The 22532-nt window shown below is 41.2% G+C and overlaps 1 protein-coding gene and 1 long non-coding RNA gene across 7 annotated transcripts in view, besides 1 other annotated feature; one reads left to right on the top strand and one right to left on the bottom strand.

Annotated features, from left to right (window-relative positions):
* Positions 1-22532, bottom strand: part of NHS (NHS actin remodeling regulator) — a 360795-nt gene that overhangs the window by 82969 nt on the left and 255294 nt on the right. For 2 of the 4 annotated variants that reach the window (NM_001136024.4, NM_001291868.2), the window contains exon 1: positions 17426-17526. The exons of the other annotated variants lie outside the window; for them this stretch is intronic. In NM_001136024.4, the coding sequence (NP_001129496.1) occupies positions 17426-17459 (34 nt within the window). In that variant the 5' untranslated portion in view covers positions 17460-17526. Of the gene's footprint in view, positions 1-17425; positions 17527-22532 lie in introns of those variants that run through there. 4 annotated transcript variants of the gene reach the window in all.
* On the top strand, positions 1272-20768 carry LOC105373142 (uncharacterized). 3 transcript variants are annotated; one of them, XR_001755804.2, is made up of 4 exons: positions 1272-1537; positions 4513-4726; positions 12630-13619; positions 16884-20768. It is a non-coding gene; the product is annotated as an uncharacterized LOC105373142 (long non-coding RNA). The 3 variants fall into 3 exon arrangements; XR_007068402.1 differs by lacking the exon at positions 4513-4726; XR_007068401.1 differs by lacking the exon at positions 1272-1537 and having other exon boundaries at positions 2460-13619.
* Positions 17330-17988: an enhancer, noted in NCBI's record as "NANOG-H3K27ac hESC enhancer chrX:17653158-17653816 (GRCh37/hg19 assembly coordinates)". NCBI's record gives its function as "activates a minimal SCP1, AML or CMV promoter by ChIP-STARR-seq in naive H9 embryonic stem cells {active_cell/tissue: H9 hESC(naive)}" and the evidence as "EXISTENCE:reporter gene assay evidence [ECO:0000049][PMID:30033119]".

Here is a 22532-nt window from a genome sequence, read left to right as displayed (position 1 = left end):
TCTCTCAGATGCCAGGTACTGTGCTGGGTGCTTGTGGGGATACAGCAGAGTCTGGGCCCAGTTGGAGCTGACATTCTAAGGACTGAGTTTACATCCCAGTCCATATAGGTATCCTACTTTTCTGATATATATTTTAAATTATTATTTTAATTGATACATAATAATTATACATATTTTCGGCATACAGTATGATATTTCAATACATGTGTACAATGTGAAATGATCAAAATAGGATAATTAGCAAATTGATCATCTAAAGCATTTATCATTTCTTTGTGTTGGAAATATTCAAAATCCTCTATTCTAGCTATTTCAAAATATACAATAAATTCTTGTTAACTATAGTCACCCTGTAGTGCTATATACCACTAGAACGTATTCCACCTATCTAGCTGTAATTTTTTAAATTCATTAACCAGACTCTCCTTATCCCCACACCACCATCCCCAGCCTCTGGTAACCACTATTCTACTCTCTATGTGATCTTTTTTTTAGCTCTCACATATGAGTGAGAACATGCCATGTTTGTCTTTCTGTGCCTAGCTTATTTCACTTAACATAATGTCCTCCAGTTTCATCCATGTTGCTGCAAATGATAGGATTGTATTCTTTTTTTATGGTTGAATAGTATTCTGTTGTGTATACAAGCCACATATTCTTTATCCATTCATCTGTCAATGGACATAAGTTGATTTCATATCTTGGCTATTGCAATTAGTGCTGCAATAAACATGGGAGTGCAGATGTCTCTTCGACATACTGATGTTTTTACTGAAAGCCAAGGATACCAGGTCTCACAGACAATTTTGCAAATGTGTCCTTTTTTAGGACAGTGATGATCTATAGCAGGGGCCAACAAACTTTTTCTGTAAAGGGCCAGGTAGAAAGTATTTTAGGCTTTGCTGGCTATGTAGTCTCTGTTGCAACTACTCTACTCTGCTGTTGTAGCTCAAAAGCAGCCATGGATGGTGCATATATAGATGGATGTGGCTGTGTTTCAATAGAACCTTCTGCACAAAAATAGAGAGTGTGTGGGATTTGGCCCATGGGCCATAATTTGCCAACCTCTGATCTACAGTGTGGCTCAGGAAATAACTATTTCCTTTAACTGGTATTGCCAGGAAATGGTAAAGTCTACACAGGTAATTTTCCATATAACTAAAGTTTATCCAACCAAGAACAATTTTCTGAAGCCCCTTATTGTTCTGAGCATATTTTATACTTTCTTTAGAAGAAACTGGCTAATTAGTTGTCCACCAAACTGTCTCCTTTCTCCTACAGCTAAACTACATTTCCCAGCCTCCCTTGCAGTTAGGTACAGCCCTCTAACTGAGTCCTGGCCAATGGAATGTGGGCAGAAGTTACGTGTGCCTCCAGCCTTGGCACATAAAAACTCTTACCTATTCCTACACACACTTTCTTGTCTTCCCTGCTGGCTGAACACAGAGGCTCTATGGGATGGTGGATTCCTAAGATGGGAAGAGCCTAGGTACCCACCTGCAAGCTAACCAGCATTAAACTGCAAGGAAAGTGAGAGGTAAGACACTGAAATATTGGGGGTTTATTACCAGAATTAGCCTACCTTGAGTAATTCACTTTCCTGTCTCTTTAATCAGATGCTACAAAACACAATTTAATGTTTTGTTGATTACTTAGGGTCTTTATTAAGAAAGCTTATTATTGGTCTCTATGGTAACACATTTCTAAGACTCCTTTGTGGATTTCCATGCTCTTTCCTTGGTATTTAGTTCTCCATTATCATTCCTTTCTCAACCTTCTTCTAGCTCCTTTCCCCAGAGTTTAAGTCTCCAGTGAGCTGGGGATAACAGACACCCATGGCTGGGAAACATCTGTCCATTAAAGAAGAGTTACCAATTCTCCAGCAAGAGCCAAAAGGATACATGTGGGCTTGCTGACAATTATTTGTAGCCTTGGGAAACTCTTTTCACTTACTTCCAGGTTTGGTGCTGTATTCCTGAAAGCTGAAGTTATTGGAAGTTCAGCAGCCCTGAGAAGAGTGGGGGTATTTCTGTATTGCTGAGCTTACAAATTTTCAAAGCTTTCATTCTTCTACTAGCCATCTTGGGGGACTCCACGATACAGATTCCAGTTCTGTCCTTCAACATGCATGGACTATTCAATTGTCAAAATACTGTCATTTCCTGATTTTGTACATATAGATTTTAGCTGTTATATGCTCCAAATCTCCCATTTTAAATTTACCTTTGCTGGTTAATTTACTATTTTGTTGACACAAACAGATCTTAATTGACTCCTATTTTACAGGAGCTGGAAGAATTGACTCTACAAGGCTAAATAGTTTTAATTCAGTTCAAGAGGTGGTATATTAACTTTATGCCTCAGACAATTTACCAAGAAAATCCAGGTGTGCTTTAGACCTGGTCTTTGGATTATTCTGATAGGTGGGAATGTGGTCCTTTCCCATCATGAGGTGGGATACAGGAGAGGAACTCGTGGGGCTGGATCAAGGGGAGAAAGATTGGAGGAAGCCAATGGAGCCCAAATACTTTGACAGTCTGATTTTACTTCTTTACTGAAAAAACTAAGATGATCATATTTAAATGATCCTCTTGGTCTGTTTCTTCATCTATAAAATAAGGAGGGTAGAGATCTGTAAAATTTTCTCTACGTCTTTCATTGTGTAAGTCAATTTTTCTATGAGACTTGGAACCAAAAATACCTTCTAAAATGATTTCTGATCATCAGTACTTATTTTATCTTCCTGTTTCTGCTGAGCATCCAGAATTGGCCATTCTACCCATAAACTTCAGCATCTGCAAGGGAAGTAATATGTTCTGTGATTTGCCCAGGGCTGGATAACCTTTTGGTCCCAGACTGACCTTGAGGGTGACCTCGAGGATCCCAATTCTAGCTCTACTGTATTTATACCATACCCATTCTCTCCTTATGTTTACCTAGGGCGAGTTTCCTGCTTTATTCTCTTTGACTCAAATACGTGCTGAGACCCAATTATGAAAACTCAATTTTGTCTCCAAGGCTTACTTCCCTGGAGCAAGTTGAATGTCCCCTCCAGAGCTATGCATGTGGTGGAGCTTTACTTCTCACCTATCCCAGTAGCAGCACATTACTATTGCTCCTGCCCCACCACTGCTCACAAAGGGACTCCCTTGACTTCCAGAAGAAATAGCTGCTATAAAATGGATCACTCATTCATAAGGAACTATGTGTTTATTCATATATATTTTATATCATAACAAATGTAAATTAATTTCAGGGTGTGACTACCCAAGCTAGTATCTATATGGCTGCCTGTATAAAATTTCTCCCTCAAAATTCTCCAAACCATCTGGCATAAACTACTCTATTGTGACCTGTTAAAATAAGTAACAGCTGTGATAATCCCTCTCGATTTATAGCAAGCTATAAAACTTTGCATATACCGGCAATGAATATAAAATAATAAATAAAACCATTATCATTCTGTGCTGTCTTGGTGGGAATTATGATGATTTAGCCAAAATGGAGCCCTATAGAATGCATCAGAGGAGAAGATTAAGCAAAGGTTTTGCCCAACCTGGCCTCCTCTAGCCCCCAAAGACTAACCTCACTACATAGAATTCCTGGATATGTTTGAAAACCTTATCCAATGTAAATGCATCCTTTCTGAAAAAACATGGTTCCCATACATTGCTGCCCAACTTCTACTATTTCAAAGCCTCCTTTTCTGATGGTGGGTTTCCAAAATTGCACAGTATATCCAGACCATAAAGAAAAAGCAAGCTATGCACAACTCAAAAATGTGAATAATCTATAGCACCAAAGCTAATAATTGTCTTGGAATTTTTAACTGTAAGTTTATGTTTGCAAACATTGCAAAGATCCCAGGTTGAAAAATATTGTATTGAAGTCATCTCTCAAAGATATGCAATATGTGAAAAAAGACAGGCTGGTATCTGGAAGGGAAAGGGGTGGGACAGCTTTGATTCTGAATGAAAGAATCACTATGCCCACTACACACCGATTTCACAAAATTAAGGGGTCAAGGAAGGAAACTAGCACCATGAAATGGCTCTTTACTAGGTTCTGGGCATTACCCCATAATCTTATTTAATCCTCACAACAGATATGTGCCTTAGGTATTATTATTCCTGTTTTATGGTGAGGAAATTGATGTTCAGACAGGTTAAATAACTTGCCCAAGGCCATCCAACTAACAAGTTGGAGAGATGGAGTTTGAACACAGGTCTGTCTGATTTTAAGATTCATGCTCTTTCCACCTCACTACACTGTCTCTTGGGCAGCTGTTCAAAACCTTTTTCTTTCATGACCCATGATATTTACATGAACCACTCATTATCATAACCATGGGAAATTCCCACCCCCTTTTCTCCCATTTATTTGAATACAAGGAGAGTTACCCTACTATTGGAAGAACTTCAAATCCATTTTAATTTATGTGTATAAAAATTTGCAAATACAGGTGCTTCGTTATTACGGTAGATTTCAAAAAATAGCCATGGTGCTTTTCAGCTCTTCCCAGCAAGATATGGAGTCTATTTCTCCACCTTGAATCTGAGCAGGCCTTATGACCTGATTTGGCCAGAAGAATGCGGTGGAAGTGACATTGTACATGTCTGAGCCTGGGCCTCAAGAAGCCTTGCAACTTCTGCTTCTGCTGATCTTGGCACCTGCCCTGCTTACTGCTGCTCATGAAGAAGCCTGGCCCAGCCTGTTGGATGATGAGGTACAGGTGGCCCAGTTGTCCCCTACCCCCATCTTGGTCTGCTAATCACCAGACATGAATAAGGCCACTCTAGGTCATTCAGCCCCAGCTGACTATAGACACATAAGCAAACTCCACAGAGCTTAACTGAGCCATCCCAGACCAGAACCACCCACTAAATTTTAAGCCACTAAGTACTGGGTGACTTTTTATGCAGAAAAGGCTAACTAATGCCGTTCTTTAAAATAAATTTCTGGCCATATGTCAAAACAGGTACTAATGGTTAAAGATTATTGGTTTGAGCACAAGGATCATAAACTAAAGACTTAAAAAAAAAAAAGGTAAATCCTTTCTGATGGCTCCAAATACTGTCGCTGCTCAAGGTCTTCACAATACTTCAATATGCCCCATGAAAGTGCCAGTTCGGAAAGGATTCCTATGGATACAGTTCCAGAAGACCACCTTTCCTCCTCCAATCCTGGGCTTGGCAGCTTGATTTTGGGTGATATGGTTTGGGGGAAAGAATCACCAAGGTGAATGGCTCAGAGCCTCCCTCAAGAAACAATCAGTGGATGGAAGGAAGAGAAAAAGAGATGATGTGTTTAAAGACTGCTAATGCCAATGCATGACCCCTAGAAATCCATCACTGAAATTAAAAAGTAATGCTGTGGGCCAAGAAGAACTATGATTTGTTAGAATATGGGGTCAGTTTTGTATTTAACAACAATAGTCATGCTGTCTTCCTAAGAAGATAAGGTATGCAAAGACACAGGTGGGAGAGAGGGAAAGAGATGTCCACCCTCCCTTTCCACACACTTGGGAAATGTACAGATGGAGACTCTCAAAAGGAAGGAAAGAATGCTGTAATTATAAACCAAATTAGGGCCAAATTGAACTATCTGAGAAAGGAAGTTACAACTAAGTACTTAAAGCAGTGTTCTCAACCTTGACTGTATGTTGGAATTTCAGCACAGTGAAAGCAACTCCAAAGCCTGCATTCTTAATCTCTACAGGGATTACTAGCTTTATTTATTATAATCAGAAAAAATGTTCAGATTTGGACTTTCCACCAGTTTCTACAAAAGCCGTTTCTTTTGAAGAAAATGCTGGGGTAACATATTACTTGATCCTTCAGCTATCTTAGCATGTGAATGCTTGGGCTTTTTTTTCCCTTTTCTTATTTTCTTAGTAAATCTTGGAGCCTTTGAACTTTGAATAATTTCTTTTCTCTTTCTCCCAGTGCCCTCTAGTTATACAAACACACACAAAAAAATCATTACAGAAGCAGTATTTATATCTATACGTCTATGACTTTTTTATTTGGTATTTACAGTACTGAGTGAATGAACTAATTTAGTTCATTTTGCTTCTTAGGAAAAAAGATGTGTAATGAAAGGAGGTCCCTTTTAGTCTACTCTTGCAAGGTTTCGTAAAGAGTAGATAAAGGAGAAACAGAGAGAAGGAAACCTTCCTTATAAACATAAGAAAATATATTGGTCTGTACCCTAAACAATTTTTTCTACATCTGCAGTTAAAAACATACTAATTATGTTCCAGAAAAGGGGATGTTTTGCTGAGCAACCTTATAAATTAAAACAAACCTGTCTATACCAGTATTTGCAGTCTCACCTAGTTCAGGTTCTGAACTTGTTTCCCAACAGTTTTTTCCAGTCTGAGAACATGCCTAGGACAGTGGATTAAGGCTCTAGGCTGAGACCTCCATTGGTTGCCTTCCCAGCAGAATCAGAAATGACATTTCCAGAGCAGAGGAGACATAAAAGTATCATGTACTCAATTGGGAGGGAAGGTTTCCTTGTTTGAGGATAGGGTTGAGTGGAATAGCAGGAAAGAGAAATGACCAGGTATGGAGAAATGACCAGGTATGGAGAATCAATGGCCCCTCTGAGATACTAGAAGCTTTACTAGAGAAGCCAGGTAAAGAAGTCTCCTGTTCTTGTCAAAAGCCCCTTATCCATGTTTTACCACCTAGACTTTGACATGAAAGAGAATCAAGGCACAGTTTGGCTTGCTCTTGTAAGGTTTTGGTTCAGAGTAATTCACTTCTAAAAGGAGAAAGGGAACTGGGCATGGTGGCTCATGCCTGTAATCCCAGCGCTTTGGGAGGCTGAGGCAGGAGAATTATTTGAGGCCAGAAGTTTGAGACCAGCCTGGGCAAAATAGTGAGACTCTGTTCCTACAGAAAATAAAAAATTAGCTGGGCATGGTGGCTAATCCCAGCTACTTGGGAGGCTGGGGTGGGAGGATTGCTTCCGCCCAGGAGTTCGAGGCTGCAGTGAGCCGTGATCACGGTACTGCACTCCAGCCTGGATGTCAGAAGAGCAAGAACCTATCTCTAAAGAGATACATACATACATATATACATACATATATACATAAAAGGAGAAAGACAAAGCAACAGGAAGTTTCTGCAGAATAATTTCATAATAAATGGACCATGTGTTAGAAAGTTGCTTTGCACACAGGAGCTCCTTCTCTCATAAATATTTCTTAACAAACAATATTTTTAAAAATTGACTTTTTAAAACAGAGAAAACAGATGATTCGGATATTTCTTGTCTCAAGAGGGAACAGTTTTGGGATCACAGAGATGTAAATCTCAGTAGGATTTGTAAGAAAGAAGTTTTCTGGCTTTCTGGGATGGTCAATATGTATCCAAGATGGCCTAGTGATGATGCTGATAGAACTCTGAAATAGCCCAGCGGGGGACCACACTGAGGTCCTCCCTGCCCACTTCAGCAGTTCTAGGATGTCATTTTGTGTCTCTGGATTTAGGCTCCCTCCCTTAGGCCCCCAGGCTTCGGGCAGTAAGCTGTATAAATTGGAGCTGTAGGATGCAGGGGTCTGATGCTTGAATGCAGTCTTCTTCAGCCTTGAAGTGTTCCGAAGCTCATTTCTAAGTCAGTTTTCCCTTTTAATTCAGGACATATTTTCCCATGGAAAAGAAACTACAGATGGTGTTTAGAGTTCCAGGTTTTTCCATCAAGGCTTATTTCCCCCATAATATTGCTGGAAAACATGTATTTGCAATGAAGAGTGGAAAATAATACTGGTATCATGGTAGTGAGTAACCAATGTTAACATAACTCAAGAAGATAGTTTTAAAAATTAATTTTAAATGCCAGTACCTCATAAAATGCAAGAATAATTAGAGAAAGAGTAGTAGATTGATGGAGACTTTGGGGTCTACAAATGAATTATCTGTCTTTTTGAAGATTAATGACACTGATTCTTTATTATGTCTGATATCACTTGAAAGATTAACTCATTCCAAAAAATAATATTTCTTGAGTATCTAAAATCCACTAGACAATACTATAGCAGAGATGAAAGACCTAGGGCCTACTCTGAAGGAGACCATTGAATGGCTGCCTTGAGAGACGCTATTTTATACCTGGTTTTCAGAGGGACTTATGCATACTCCCGAGATACACTGTAGCGTGCCTGGCAGTTCAGGAAGCCACAGGATAAATATAGAAGGATCTTCCTGGACCACTAGCTTTACTCAATGATTGAGGAGAGATTATTTTATATTACATAACATAGATAATAGTGCTAATTTTATAAGAATGTTTAGGATGAGGCATGCAACTATGAAAAAAAAATTCAAATGATGATATAAAAGACTGTTTGGAGCCATGCCTGACTTTATCCCTCCCTATCTCCACCACTGGCTCAGGTCCTTATAGGGGTACTGGTTCACCCTCTTCCCTTGGAAGCACTACCATCCACTAAAAGATAGACAGGCACAACTATCTTTCCTTTACATATAGGCTATGGAAAGGGAGATATCTAAATCACCCTGGGCAATTTCAGGGAAGGCTTCCCCCAAAAAAGTGATGCTTAAGGCTTCTAAACTGAAGAAATAGCCAGGTAAAATAGGTCATAAAAGCATTCAGAGGTTTTAGTGTACACAGACCTGTAGGTGTGTGAGAGAGCATGATGTGATGAGAAATTGCAAGCAATTTTTTTGTATGACTGGAACATCTGGCTAGTGTGGGGAACTTCAGAGACACATGCATTATCATTCCAAGGTGCAAGAAAGGAGGTGGAGGGGAAAAAGATATTGAATCCAAGAGTTCTCTGTTCCAGTCAACAGGTGGCATTTTTGGCCCCGGGCAGCTTTGTGGTTATCCACAGCAAATGGCCTTGGGAAATTTGAGAAAGCAGATGGTGGTATGAAGATAGCCAATTGTAGATGGGAGACATTTAAAAATAGGTTTTTGTAACTACAGAAAGAGTTGTAATCATATTTGCTACTTGTTATTTCATTCAGAGACTTTGAATGAGATAAGATAAAATATAGTCCCTGCAAGCAACTTCACCGGATGCTAAAGCTAAGAAATTAGAGGACAAACTATCATCTTTCTCATCATGGAAAAACACCATCTCTTCATGCTGACCTGCCAACATATCCAAACAACAGTATGGGAAATTCTGCATTGTAACTTCTTGACCTACCACAACTACCAGCACTTGTTAATCCATCACCTTTTATGATCCCAGAGGACATTTACAGCCTTCTCCTGGGAAACAAATATTTGAACAATATGTCATTGATAAACAATGCTTAGTAATAAATATATCAGTTGCAGGCAATCAAGTTAATTAGCAAAAAGTTCTAGTGTCATTAAAGAAACCAAAAGTGAAGGTAACAGGCTTTACCTACCATGCCCCTCCCTTTTTTCAAGACACAGGACACTATTGGCTCTGTCCCTTGTCCAAGTGACACCACTTCTCAGTTCACAGTCTTGTATTTTGATTGAGGCCATTTCTTCTGATCAGTTTTTACACCTTCAGATCAGAACTAAATTCCTTCTACTTTGGACGAACTAAACAGAGATTGTAGCACAGGCCATAGCACATCTTTTAACCCTTAACCTCATTGAGAGCTCCCACTTTCCCCAAGGCACTGTATGATAACCTAAAAACATCACTCCCATGTTTAGTTTGGGATCATTATTTTTAAATCCCTGCAGACAGTATAACCTACTGGGAAAAAAAAAGAAAGAAAGAAAGAAAGAAAAACACACACAAAACATAGGTTTTGGAGCCAGAGAGAACTGAGTCTAAATTCTGGCTCTGCAACAACTAAGCTGTAATCTTGGGCAAGTTGTTATGTAAATATTCTAAGCCTCATTTTCTTCATCTATGGAAGGAGAAGAATAACTGTACCTGCATCAGAGGATTGTGATGAGGATAAGCTATGACCAAGCAATTAGCATAATCCTCCTGAGCACATGAGTCATTAAATTACTTTTAACATTACCATCCTGGTTTCCCCCAACCACTGCATGTGACAATCTCCTCAGTCCCTAACATCAATGGACAAGCCCCTCTCAAACACATTATATCCATCACTTATGAGGCAAAAATACTGCCATATTAACTACTAAACTTAAAAAAGAAATGTTTCATTGCTTATTTCCAGAAACACCTTTCCTTTGTGACTTGAATGAAATCACTGGAAGATAAACAGATTAGAAGAAAATCAAAATAACCGGAGTGAATATTTTTTGAAATTGCTAAAATAAGTTGCTAAAAACAAAGACCCCTGGAGAAATTATAGCATAAGCTATTGGTTTTATATTTACATCTTCACTCGAATATCCACCCACTACTGAAATTGTAAATCAGTGTATAAGATGTTATATTGGGAAATGGAGCGGGGTTAAAAAAAATCTTTTGATACTTGGTTGGGTCTGCTTTCATCTTGCCAGAAGCGAACTAATATTAACCAAAGTATGCCAAAATATAAAAGATGACAGTCTCAGAAAGAACGGGATAAGATCAGAGAAAAAGGGGTCAGGAAAAAGGGGTTTAATTACCTGTGGTAATAGCATCATGTCCCTACGAAGGTTCTTTTCACATACTTCCAATACCACCTCCTAATTGCAATGATAATAACAGTAGCAATGACAACAACTACAACCACTTATTCAGTCCTTATGTCCCAAGCAGTGTGCCATGTGCACTATTTTAATTATGCCATTAAATCTTCACAACAAGCCTATGAGATTTTATAGAAGAAACCAAAACTTAGAAAGATATACCCTAGGTCGAGCGTGGCGGCTCACGCCTGTAATCCCAGCACTTTGGGAAGCCGAGGAGGGCGGATCACGAGGTCAGGAGATCGAGACCATCCTGGCTAACATGGTGAAACTCCTTCTCTACCAAAAATACAAAAAAATTAGCCAGGCCTGGTGGCCTGCGCCTGTAATCCTAGCTACTCGGGAAGCTGAGGCAGGAGAATCGCTTGAACCCAGGAGGCGGAGGTTGCAGTGAGCCGATATTGTGCCATTGCACTCCAGCCTCAGTGACAGAGCAAGACTCCAACAACAACAACAACAACAACAAAAAGATATACCCTAAAATGTTTCTCTGGCTAATACATTTCTACCAATTCATCAAAGCCTAGCTCAAATCTCACTTCCTTAGAAGCTTCCTTCCCTTTCCCTTGTCACCTCCTCCATCCCACATCCAGTTTTTCTTTCTCCAATCATTTTGAAGTTTGTTTTTTTCTTTTCTTTTTTTTTTTTTAAATAGACACACTTGGGAATATAATCACACATGGATATTTGGTTCTACTGTTCTTTCACAGAATGCTGAATGGGTTGGGTCTCTAAATGCAGCTGTGACACTTTAAAGATAGAGAGGTTCTCAGCTTTGCCCCAAATATAGAGCAGGATGTAGGGCAGATTCTATACCTACAGAATCTAATCTAAGCCTAGATATCTATTAAATGCAAGAAATTGGATTTTTGCCCTTTACCAAGTTTCCAAATTCATAGTTATTTTCAGCGTGATATGTTGGACCAAGGGGAGAGAAATGTCGTTGTCCTACAGAGGGCTCCAGCCACAAGAATGTTGTGGAACAGGAAAGGAAGTTATTTTTTATCATTGAACTCAAAAGCTTCTTTTCTCATATGAATCAAGGGTGTATCTTATCTCCCAGATATTTCTTCTGAGTCCATCAGTGGCTGGGCCTGCCACCCTCCTATAAAAGGAGAGTAGACAAAGAGAAGCAGAATGTGATTTGGCAGCAAAGGACATTTTTCCCTGGCAGAAAATGGAGTGACTTTTAGCTTATCTGTTGTCACCTTGTTAATGTGGTCATTGTTCTTCAAAATAAAATCTCCTCTTCTTACCCATGATGTCTTTTGTGTAAAAAAATAAAATAAAATAAAATAAAAAAGAAGCAACTAGAAACTCAGTGGAGAGAGGGAAAGGGCAAAAATAAAAGCCTAATCAAAAGAAGCAACAGATCAACTCTTTCTTAGGGAAAAACACTCAACACACAATTATCTTAATTCTCCCAAGTGGTTATTTTGCTTGCTTTCTGAGACAGGTGTGGAAAGCACTAGAAACCCATGGCCCCTGTCATCACCCCTGGTTTTCAAAGCAGGGACTATGGGCCTGTATTAGTTGGGATGCAGAATTTATCATCCATTTAAGCCAACGGCTATGTGGCTGTTGATGTGTGCCCCTGGCCTGTTCTCAAACACATCCTTATTCGAAAATTAATCATCCAGCTCTTACTTGCCTGTGAATGTTTCCAGGGATAAAAACTTAGATGGAAGAGGGAGCTTAGCTGTTAATGGCCAAATGTCATCCATGGCAAGCATTAACACAAAGACAAGGTGGTGAGAGAAGAGTGATTTACTCTATCTTGAAGAATAAATGAAAACTTCCTCCTCACTCAATTGCAAAGGTGGGATCAAGAAAGGAGCAAAGACAACATTCCTGGGAGGCCTCAGTTCCTTGAAGCTGAGGAAGCATTTGCATCTTTCCTCTTATTGGAGCTTGACATTTGGCCTCTGGATGCTGAAGAACCAGTTCTGTGTTTCAGTTGTGAATGGATATGGCTGAGATTAATTCCCTTCTGTATGTCCTTTCTGCCATTTCAGGAGCCGGGGGTGCAGCTACATTCAAGATCAATGAGTTATAGCCACATGCAAGGCCATGAAAAGTAATACCCTTCAGGAGAGTGGAGTTTCCGGTATTCTTGCTGAGCCAAAAAGACTAGGAGAGAAAGAGCCATGCTACCCACCAAAGTATTCAGAAGTACAGGGTGGGCTTCAGAGAAAACTAGAAGATTCTGCTTTGAACACAGATAAGTAACTTCCACTTCAGTTTACCTCTATATACAGTGGAGTTCTGCAGGATGGAGAGAGTGTGGATAGCAGATTACAGTTGCTTATAGCTTCCTGCAGCCTTATCTCTTCCTAAACCTTACCATCTCCTCCATCACCTCCTATGCCCCTCAGACTCAGAGAAGGCAAGAATCAACCAAAGGCAAATAGGTATTTTTAAAAACTTACCGAAAACTTGATACATCTTAACCTATTTATCCTGACAAAGTCAGTTCAAAAGTCCTCTCCTCCATCAGCCTCACTTGGCTTCCCATGCCACTCCACAAGAAAGAGTTGGTTCCTCCTTCCTGTGGATGGGCCTAAAGGCACTGTGTTTAGCCTTTCTGATGTTCATGGGTCAGTATTCTCCTGATGCTATGGTTTGAATGTTTGTCCCCTCAGAAACTCATGTTGAAACATAATCTCCAATTTAACAGTATTAAGAGATGGGGTCTTTAAGAAGTGATTGGGTTATGAGGGCTCTTTCCATAACCCAATGGATAAACAGATTAATGAATTAACAGATTAATGGGTTAATGGATTAAATGGATTAATAGATTAATGGGTTAATGGATTAAATGGGTTATCACATGAATGGGGTGGTTATCACAAGAGTAGATATGTTATAAGAGCCAGTTTGGCTCTCGGTGCAACCCCCCTATTACCCTGGGATGCCTTCCACAATGTTATGACACAGCATGAAGCCCTCACCAGAAGCCAACCAGATGCAACCACTTGATCTTGGACTTCTCAGCCTCTAGAACTGTAAGTAATACATTTATTTTCTTTATAAATTACCCAGTCTGTGGTATTCTGTTATAGCAACAGAAAATGGACTAAGGCACCTGACTTGGAAGTCCTCAAGAACAGAACTGTGACTTAGTCATGTTTGATGCTCAGAGCCAAGCCTAATTCCCAGCACAGAGATGCTGCTCCATAAAGTTTTGCTCCCCAAATGCTCACTTCCCTCAAGGCTCTGGCTATAATGTGCAGTCAAAACCCTACAGAGGGGAAAGCAACCCAGCTGGGTAGCCAGGAAAGAAGCCAGATCTGGGGTAGGGAAGCTCAGTTCATTGAGGAACATCCCACAAGAGAAAATGAGATCAAGACAGTTCAGGGGAATTTCTGAATGGTGAGTTTTTGTGCTGAGTTTTTTCCTGGATTGCCTTGGCGTGCTCAATTCAGTGTAACATTTGGCTGCATGCCCTCCCCTAGGCACACTGTTGGTATTTCATGTCCCATCTGCCAGTGTCTCTGGAGGACATTAGGATAAGTAGTTTGATCCAGAAAGGATACCCACTGTCCTGGCCCTCTGCCCAAGACATGCAAATGGAGAGCACTTCCCAGCCACAAAGCTTTTGCCTGTGCCAGTGATGTATTATTTTTGCTATTATTATCCATAGCAACCATGGATTGAGCATCTACTAGGTGCACCATGCTAAGTCCTTTGCCTGCATTCTTTCATTTCATCATCGTTTAAAGAATACAACAAGCAGATATTATTATCTCCATTTTAGAAATAAGGAAGTTGTGATCCTATAACTTAGTCACACAACTGATAAAGGGCAGAGTAAAGATTCACATCCAGATCTGGCAGACACCAAAGCCCATTTTCCTCACACCATGCTGTCTTGCCCAAAACTAACTATTCAGAGGATGAAACCAATAACAATAAGCCCACATAGAAAAACCAATGGAAATTACCAAAGCTATACTCTGAGGTAAATTTGTAGTTTTCAATTCTCACATTTTTTATTGAAACATTCAATTTAAGAAATATTTTTAATAATTTAAAATCTCAAGTAAAGAATATAAAATCAGGTACATTAATTTTAAAATACAGAACATCAGTAAAATTGACAAAATGGTCTTTGCCATAAGACAGTGGCAGCCTATGCCTTGCTCCCTCTGAATGCAGGGTTCCCAGGAATGAACTAAGGGACCTAAGATGACACTGATAATGACATGAAAGCTTTGCTTCTGGGAAAGACAAATGCCCAGAGATCTGGGAACACATAATGACAGTAGCTGTTGTACTTTGTGACCACTGACTATGGGTTGGCATAAGGGTCTGTGTTTCTGAGAGTTTGCCTGATCAGCTTAAGTGATTCTCACACCTGTCCAAGCCTCCAGGACACCTTTCTAAGCTAGACGCAACAGGAGCCTGAAATTTGAGTCACATTCCCACTTTTCCTGAAGACCATCCTATCCCTGGTAAGCCTAGCCCAAATATAGTCTATCAGCTACAACATCCAGCACGTGGCTGTGCCTTCCTCCAGATTGGGGAAATTTGGCAGGGGTCGAGAAGGAAAGAAAACAGAGAGTTTGTTTTTCCCTGCATTTTATTCCTATGCTTATAAGGCAGTCATGAGAAACAATGGTTCCACAGCTTTAAATCTAGCAAATAGAACTCCCTTTGAGATTCCAGTTTGAAAGCTGGTGAAGATCAGAGTAACTCCATCGTTTATGTAATAAACACACACCCAAACCTGTAACATTTTTATAATGAAACCTGGTGGTAATAAAATTTGCGTTAAGGTAAAAGCAGTCATTTTCCCTTCAGCTTTTATTGTGCTGAATGCAGTATCTGCCAAGTCCTACTTGAAGGCATCTTTGATTAAGGGCCTAGTCTTCCCACTTGTGAACCATCCAGAGTTGGCAGGAGTACCATGACATTGCTGAGACTAATGCCCAAAGATAGCCAAACTCATGACACGCCAGCAGCTTCAAAAAAGTTGAGCCCTCTGTCAAGTAGCCCTGTCACCACCACCACCCCCGCCCAGTCCCTTCCTGGTCTGTCAGCCACGTATAGGCCTTGGATCTTCAAGTCTTGAGGGAAAACTGGGTCGAGCTATTCTAAAGGCTTTCTCATCTTTCTTATTGAGCCTAAACTGAAACTTCTGGCAGGGCCTTATTTCTTTGGTACTCTCCCATTACTTAGTTCTTCAGGCCTAATAAATAAAGACTATCTGGCTGTTGGACGCTCTCTCCTGAATCCACTGATCTGTATGAAAATGTATGAATGTAGGCCCTTAGTTGTCTTCCTTGGTTCCCTGAGGGGAATTGGGGGTTTGGGTGGAAGTGCAGTTCTTACTTCTTACGGCTGCACATTGGAATCCACCTGGGGAGTTTTAAAAACATGCACTGTTATCGGGACCCACTCCCAGAGATTCTGATTTGATTGGTCTGAGGTGTTTAATTGTTATAATTGGCCTGCCCATCAAATAATGGTTATTTATCATAAATATATATGATATTAGGGACTTGCATTTGAACAACTTCTCTGCCATAAAATTCAGAAACCACAATGTCCTGAACAAACTGATAGAGGCTCCATGACACCCATTGGAAGCTGCCTGGTTCACAGGAATGCTTCCTTCTTCTCCTGAGCGATCTTAAGTAACAAAGCTGCACACAACAGTGCTTCCCCATCATCATGGCCTGGAAAGGCAGCTCAGAGAGAGTGTTCTCAGACAGCAGGTAGGACAAACCCTTCATTAAGAAAGGCTGCATACACGGTGTTGGTAGCTGTTGGGCTAATAGGAGACCCTTGAAACTTGGCCCTGTGTCAGCCTCCGCAGAGGCAGTGGAGGCAAATGTGCAGTGAAGGGGTTTAGCTGAGGCAAGGAGAGTGGCCAGCGTCAACTGTCACACTGGCCACCTCCTGCAGAACAACCTAATAGCGCATAGCAAGAAATGAAAGTAAGGCACTGTCCTTGACATTAAGGAGCCTGAGTTACAACTGAAGGACTAATAACCCCAGTGTTGGAAGAATACTGTAAAAAGTTCAATGCTTTTCAAATAGGGTTCAATTGCATGGCCAAACTTATGTGATAAAGAAGTATAGTGAAGGAGGGCTTAGAGGGCTAAAGAAATCAAGACAGGCCCCACAGTGGTTTAACAGATTTGTGTAAGGCCATTGAAGATGTAACAGAAACGAGAGGTTGGGGGATTTGGGTCTGGGGACTCTCAGTTTAGGGCTGTTTTGGGGACACTGGGAGATAAACAAGTCTTTCTCTGTAATCTCAGGATGAAGGTAAGATACTGAAGAATTCCAAGAAGACTGGAGGGGGCAGTGCTGGAGGAGAAGAAAGCAACATAGGGCCTGGTGCAAGCCCATGCAGGATGGGGCCCCTTCCCAGAAGTCCTGAGCTAGAGCCCCGGAATCCTGCCCTGGAATCTCTACTGGAGCTACCCTCTGGCCCTTCTTTAAGACGTTCAAATGTCGGAGCAGAAGAGGAGAAGGAAGAAAGGGTTGTCCTCTTTGTCTTGGGTAGTTTGATGCCTCAGAAGGAGAGCAAAGGCGAAAACGTTGGCCAGCCAGTATGAACAATGCAAGGTCCTCAAAGCTTAGGAGCCACTGACCCTAAATGTCAAAGTCAGCCTTGAGTGAGGGTCAAGTGCAGATTCCCCTCCTCACAGCTGTTCCTGTGAAAGGGCTCACTTTCATTGGGAAACATAGTTATCTTCTCTCCCAGAATAGGAAGTGGCTACAGCACAAGCCCCTCTTCGTTAGACCCAGCCTCCCCCTCCCCTTTGTCTTGCCAAGAAATGCTGCAAACCCCAAATACCTGCATTCTTGGGCATGCAGCAGGCCAGAGCCATGCTTGGATTCCCGCTCTGCTCCTTAAGGAAGGGCCTTTTCTTTTATGCAAAGACGTCTCTGAATGCCAGAGAGCTGAAAGCTGATCTGCTTAAGTCAGCAAGCACGGCGGGGGGGATGGAGGGCGAGAGAGGGCAACCTTCTGCAAGGAGGATGGCAGATTTTCACAGAACCTCTGTGCTGCATCTAGGACTCCCCCCTGGAGGGGGAGATGGTCTCACCCAAGTGCTAGGCTGGCTGCTAATCCCTCCAGGGTTCACTTGAATGGCAAATCAGGACTCCAGGGCAGCCTGGACACACCCTGTCTCCAGAGGAGGGGCTTAGCACTTTCCTTTTTCATCCCTGGAGCAGTTTAGGTTGCAGTGGGACTTCTTTACAGCCTTGCTACTCCAATTGCAGTTGGCCAGGGGGTTAGGAGCATAGGCATCAACCTGGGAGCTTGTTAGAATGCAGAGTCTCGGGCCACACCAGTTTAAGAAGCTCTGCCAAGTGCCATGTGGCTATCGAAACCATTAGCACACTGCCAGAGACAGGAAGCTGGACAAATAAATCCAGGGAGCCACAGCAGCCCAGCCCCTACACCAACTGCCTGATCAGGAGAAGGAATACATTTCATCCCATCACTCCATAGCTGCCCCAGGTTGCCACCCATTCTTCTCACCAGGATGGGGCTGGCTTACTTGGCTGTGAAATTTTAGGTTGGTGTGAGGGTGCGCTATTCAACAGGTTTGCAAATATTTGCGCACACACCGAAAGGACAAGAATGGTGCAGGTGGAGGCGATACAACTGGAGTTTGCTCTTTGCAGGTTACAAATCAATTTCTGATCCCTTCCCACCCACCCGCCCTCAACACACACCACCTGTATCAACATGTTAGACTCTCGTGATGCTGATAACAGCAGTAATAGCGCATAGCAAGAATACTCAAACCACTTCACAAACAGCAACCATCCTGGACCCTGTTCAGATCTTCCTCTTGGCAAGAAAGGGAGAGTTTAGGTACTTCCACATCTTTGCCCTAATAGCCTTATGTTGTCATGGCACATGATTTGCCTCCCACCTGAGCCCAGCAAGTGAATCTGTGTGCAGAAGCTGAAAGGGAAGAGAGAAGGAAAGAAGATAAACTAATGAAGAGTGGGAGACGAGCTTTTCCTCTGCAGTCCAGAGAGAAGATTAAAAGGACTACTAGTGAGGCAGATAGACTTGCTTTTTTCTCATCTGCCAGATTTGTGCTGATGGCTGTGACTCCCTGTATTGGATACTTCTGCTCCTTAATCATGCGCAGCAAGAACCAGAATGGGCGACTTCATTTCCGAAGAGGAACTGAACGGCGCTGAGGCTCTGGGATGCATTAAGACAGCCCAGATCAACAGAAAGTCTGGCTGGAACCTCAGAGAAATGACCCAGACAGAATCTTCAGCCTCCCAAGCATCTGTCAGTGGCATCAGTGGCTGGCATGGCTGATTGCACTGATCCCCTCCCTTTAGCAGAGAGTCAGGCTCCTGATTGAGGGAAGAAAGCAAAGGGCTGGAGAAAAGGAGGGAAGGTCAGCCAGAGATGAAGACAGAAGAGAGAGAAAGCAAAGAGGGTGGCCCTGGGCTTTACAGGGATTTGTGTGGGTTCTTAAAAGCAATCATGGTGGCCTTTTGAGTAGAAAACCAAGCTAAGCTAGTATTTAAAAATCTTCTTCAGGGCCCCAATCTTGCCTCAAACAACAATCACTCATAAAAAGACTGTCGCGAATGAAAGGAAATGCTGCCATTGTTTTATTTTTTCTGGGAAGTCATAATAGGTTTTAAAAGGTTAATCTCCCTCTCAGCCCTGTTTTTTCCCTTCCAGTGACCCCAAGCTGAAAAGGAAAAATATTTGCACTTGGTGTTTAAAAACCACCACAGTGAATTAGCTTTTGTTGTTCATGGCAAAGCCACTATTTAGCTGCCCAGAATCAAACCAGATGTGAGGGAAGAAAGAAGGCCCTGCATCCTGTGAACTTGCCTTTCACCTTTGCAGAAGGGCTGAGGGGAAAGCTGGGCTGAGATGGCAAAATAAAAGGAGTTTGGTGCTCAACAAACCTGATGTGCACTTTTGATGCAAGCACTGGTTAGCTCTTGCTGGGGTGCTGTCCGTAGGTCTAGAATGTAACAGCTCTAGGACCCTGGATGCACAATGCCTCCTGATTTCCAGAAGTTTTCTTCTGTGGACACTAGGCCAGCAGCCCTATTCCCATAGGTAGCAAAGATCAGAGATGGAGAAGAGAATTAGAAGACAGAAATAAAACACAAAAAGAGATCAGCAGGACTTGTTGGAACATGAAATCTATCAGTGAAGGTGAAAAAAAGAAACTGAAAGGAAGAGGATATATTTTCTTTCTGAGGCCTTCCGGAAGAGTATGAGGAGTAGATTATTACTCATTCTTGTTTTGCTTTAGGACACCACTCACCAACACTCACAGTTTAAATTGGGCAACGCCCCCGCTAAAAAAAAAAACAAAAACCCTTCCTATGGGTCTCAGGCTGTTTATTACTGTTTCCTAAATCTACAGCATAAGTAAGCAGGAAGTTCTCTCTACATCAAAACACTTTTTATCCACTCAACAAACATTTAATAAGCCCTGACTTTGATCAAGTATTTGAGTGATACCAGAAGGCTTTGGATACTATTCCTGCCCAGAAGTTTACAGCCTAATAAGGAATAGCATTTCTCATTAGGGGAATATAATAATACAGTACAATAGTATAACAATAATAGCAACAACAATAATAATACTAAAAGGCATCATTTTTCAAAATCTAATGATATGCCAGTAATTGCACTTTATATACAGTAACATCTTTAATCTTTACAATAACTCTGCACAGTAATTTTTATTATTTCCATTTTACACATGTAGAACTGAGGCTCAGAGAACTTGACCAAGGTCACAGAACTATTAAGCTAGCCGGGGTCTTCGTTTTTTTTTGTTTTTGTTTTTTTTAATCACTGATGAAGCCCAAGTGCCTAGAACGGTGCCTGGCACATAATAGGTGCTCAATAAATATTTACTAGAAAGCAGTTGTGGGTGCAAGGGAGGGCTTTCTGGGGCATTGGAGCTGAACTTTGAAGAATGGCTAGGATCTATGCAAAGGTGGTAAAAGGCACACCAAGAAGAAAGCAGGAAATGAACAAATGTTTTTCTAAAAAAAAAAAACTGTTTTACAAAATCGGAAAAAAAAATGGACAGGATGAAATAGCAGTCAGGAGAGGGATGATCATAGAGAATTGCGTCCTACTGTGACTGCCACCTATAAAGTGTGTGAACTTCACCAACTCATTCAGTCTCTTAGTGCCTTATTTTCCTTATCTGCAACATGGGGATAAGAATATTACCTACTGTGGCATAAGTTGTCAATTTCTTAGTGAACCTTCCACATTCTCCTTCTCTTTCAAATTTATAAAATCTCATTTAAAAAACTGTACCCATGCCATACAACCAAAATTCTACATATCCAGGTCTCCCTTTTAGCTAGGGATTGCTACCTGGTCAATGTGGTCAAAGCAACTGTGGTACAGGATTTCTAGAAAGACTCCCCAGAAAACAAGGGGCATGTTCCTTCTTTCATCCTGATGCTTAGGCCAATAATGTGATGACTGGCACTCCAGCAGCTATCTTAGACTGTGAAGATGAGGGCCACAGTCTAGGGATAGTGGAACTAGGAGCCGGAAGAAGCCTCGGTACCTCATTATTGCTGAGTCTGCATACAAACCTTTAACTTCTTTTACACAAGCGAAAAATAAAGTTTCATCTTTTTAAAGCCTTTGTTGATCCCCAGCTGATACATTTACCTCAAACAGTTGCTGGGGGGATTAAATAAGATAATACAGATCAAATAATTAGTGCTTGGTCTTATACATACTAAGCACTGAAACAAATCTTAGCAATCATGTTTTGTTGCTGTTCTTATCACTATTATCATCAATATCATTACAAAATCTAGAATACTCCCCTATTCTGCATTAGTCTGAGCCACCTTCATTCAGTTATTTAATTGTCCATTTGCTTAAAAATCCCTAGAATTGTGTCTTTCATGAGAACCTATTCATAAATCTTCCTAATATAGAGTCTCTGATAACAAAACAAAATGTTTCTCTTTGAATTTCATCACTAAATCATCCACACAACCAACAATAATGAAGATTTAGGTCTGTTAGTGAAAGGAGGGTTAATAGGTTAATACTTCTGAGCATGGAGGATGGAAAGCATGAATTATATTCTAAACTTGGTCAAATATCCCTTTTTGGAAAACTCCATGGTAACTTGATGTCTCAAAAGTCTCTCCCTTTTCCCAACCAAATAGACCTTTACATTTCAGGACACATGAAAAAAATTTAAAGATGCAATTTGCTGAGAAAGTTCTGAGAGTCAGCATCGTATGCTGGACTCCAAGAGATTTGCCAAAGACTGTGGATCTTTTGACTTAAATCTCTGCTTCTTAGTGTCTTTGACAGATTGTGTGATTTGTTCCTGAACTTGATCAATGAATGTTTCTTAGAAGATCTAAGAAAAGAAATAAAGACAATGGGCTAGAATGAGTGGTTCTCATTGGTCAAAGGACTAGCTGCATTAAAATTACCAAACACTGAACTCAGGAAAACTATAGAATCTCAGGCCTCACTCCAGACCCACTGAATCAGAATCACTGGAGGTGGGGCCTGGGAATCTGTATTTTTAAAGCTGCCCAGGTGATTCTGAGGTGCAGTCAGGTTTGAGACTATTCATAAATGCCCCTCCTCCCAACTCTGCCTAAGATTGGGTTATCCAGAAGCAAAGTCTAAGTTAAGATTGACACTATTGTTCAAGTAATGTATGGAGGGAGTGCTCTTAGTAGAAGGGGCATGAAGGAAGCTGGATATGGTAGGGGAAGGGACTGAGCAGGAGTATAGTCTCAGCTGGATATTTGCTCCAGCCTGATCCCACGGAGATCTCTGGGGCACAAAATGCACCACAGAGCTGGTGTCACCTGGAGGTGAGATGGTTGATGGGGCTTGCATTTGGCCAACAGCAAGTCTCTGGGGAAGAGGGCAGCTATAGCATTTA

The sequence above is a fragment of the Homo sapiens genome, chromosome X, assembly GCF_000001405.40.
Source record: "Homo sapiens chromosome X, GRCh38.p14 Primary Assembly".
Taxonomy (NCBI): domain Eukaryota; kingdom Metazoa; phylum Chordata; class Mammalia; order Primates; family Hominidae; genus Homo; species Homo sapiens.
Note: the sequence above shows the minus strand (reverse complement) of the source record. Positions and strands in the feature narration are given on the sequence as shown.